The sequence below is a fragment of the Homo sapiens genome, chromosome 5, assembly GCF_000001405.40.
Source record: "Homo sapiens chromosome 5, GRCh38.p14 Primary Assembly".
Lineage (NCBI taxonomy): Eukaryota > Metazoa > Chordata > Mammalia > Primates > Hominidae > Homo > Homo sapiens.
Genome location: NC_000005.10, coordinates 91,802,534 through 91,804,094, shown reverse-complemented (window position 1 = coordinate 91,804,094; position 1,561 = coordinate 91,802,534). Strand labels below are relative to the sequence as shown.

General features: G+C 41.9%; 1 annotated feature.

The window, feature by feature from the left end:
* Positions 810-1,311: an enhancer, noted in NCBI's record as "H3K4me1 hESC enhancer chr5:91098601-91099102 (GRCh37/hg19 assembly coordinates)". NCBI's record gives its function as "activates a minimal SCP1, AML or CMV promoter by ChIP-STARR-seq in naive H9 embryonic stem cells {active_cell/tissue: H9 hESC(naive)}" and the evidence as "EXISTENCE:reporter gene assay evidence [ECO:0000049][PMID:30033119]".

Genomic DNA, 1,561 nt, shown 5'->3' with positions numbered 1-1,561 from the left:
TATAGGGGACTTCAATTCAGAAGCTGAACTTTTGTAATTCCAATTAGACTTTCATTCTATAATTCAAAAAATTGAATTAAACTATTTATAGTAACCATACATGATCAATAAAAGCTTATTTTACATACCCACATATGCAAAGTATAATATTTAAATAAGTTTTTAGTGGAGAAAATACAAAGTAAGACTTTATTATCAGTATTTTGATTCAATTGCAGAACTTAAAAAAAAAAACTCTAAGTCTATATTTGAAAGAGTAAATACTTTGTGGAAAAGCATTTAAAAATTATAATAAATTAACAGTTAATTTTCCAATGTTTTATACTTTTTGAACAAATATTAAAAGTCAAAACCTAATCTGTTGGATAAAAATAATAACCTAAAGCATTTTAGAATCCTTTGTCAATATATGCATGCTCAGAGCCTTTCTGAAACTTAGATTAATGTTTACTCACAGTATTTATCACTAAGGTATGTTGGAATAACATTGGAGCTAAAAAAAGGGATACAGAATAGCATTTGCATAAGAAGTATTCTTATCAAAATCAAAAATAATATTAAAATTGATATTTATTACCCATCATAATTGAAGTAGAAATGACACAGGATTTTTCTTAGCCACTTTGCCAGCCAGAGACCTCCAGTCAGCAATGCTCCTGCCCAGGTCTCACTTGGCCCCGGGTTCATGACAGGAGGCATCCCACCAGCTTGGCTTGCCAGGCAAAGCTTGGCTTGTGCTCCAGTGCAGATCCCACAGATGCTGCAACTGCACACTCAGCCCCTGGCTGCAGGGGATGTGTGGGTGAGCTATTGTGAGGTCTGGCTGGTCACTGCAAGTGCTGGCACAGGAGCAGGCTCTGTGCAGGGCTTGTGGCTGGACCAGGCATGTCACAAGTGACTCCCATGGTAGACTCCAGTGTCCAGACAAGGGAAATATGGTGGCACCCAAACAAGGAAGCCCACAACCCTGAAGCCCCAGAGAGGGTGCTACAGCATGCTAATAGCTCTTTTAGTCCTGTCATCCACAGCCTCATGGACAGCAGTGTGTTAACAGCTCTGTCAGTCCCATCACTCCACTCTGGCCCATGGCTCCGAGAATAGATTGGCCCCACCACTGCTTCCCATCACATGGGGTGAGTGCCCTTCACCAGCAGAGGGCAAAGGGCCACAATGTTACAGTCTTCTTTGTAATTCCTGTGTTTGGTGGGTCCTGAGTTTTTGTCCCTCATCAAAGAAGAATGAGGTTACACTGATGAAGAGTGAGGAGGGAGGAGAAGAGTTTTACTGAGTGATGAAACAGCTTTCAGCAGAGAGGGGATGTGAGGGTAGTCCCCCACCTAAAGTTGTGTGGTCAGTCTCCCAGTGTGGCTGGGTCTGGGGCTTTTATGGGCCCAGAATGGGAGAGTGCATGCTGATTTGCTTGTGAGTAGGCAAAAAAGGCTAAAACAAAGGCACCACTCAAAGGTGGACATGACAGTGTGAAAACCAGTCAGGGAAGAGTAGGTATATGTAAAATAGGTGAAGGGTGGGGATCAGTCAGAGGAAAGTGCACCAAATGGGA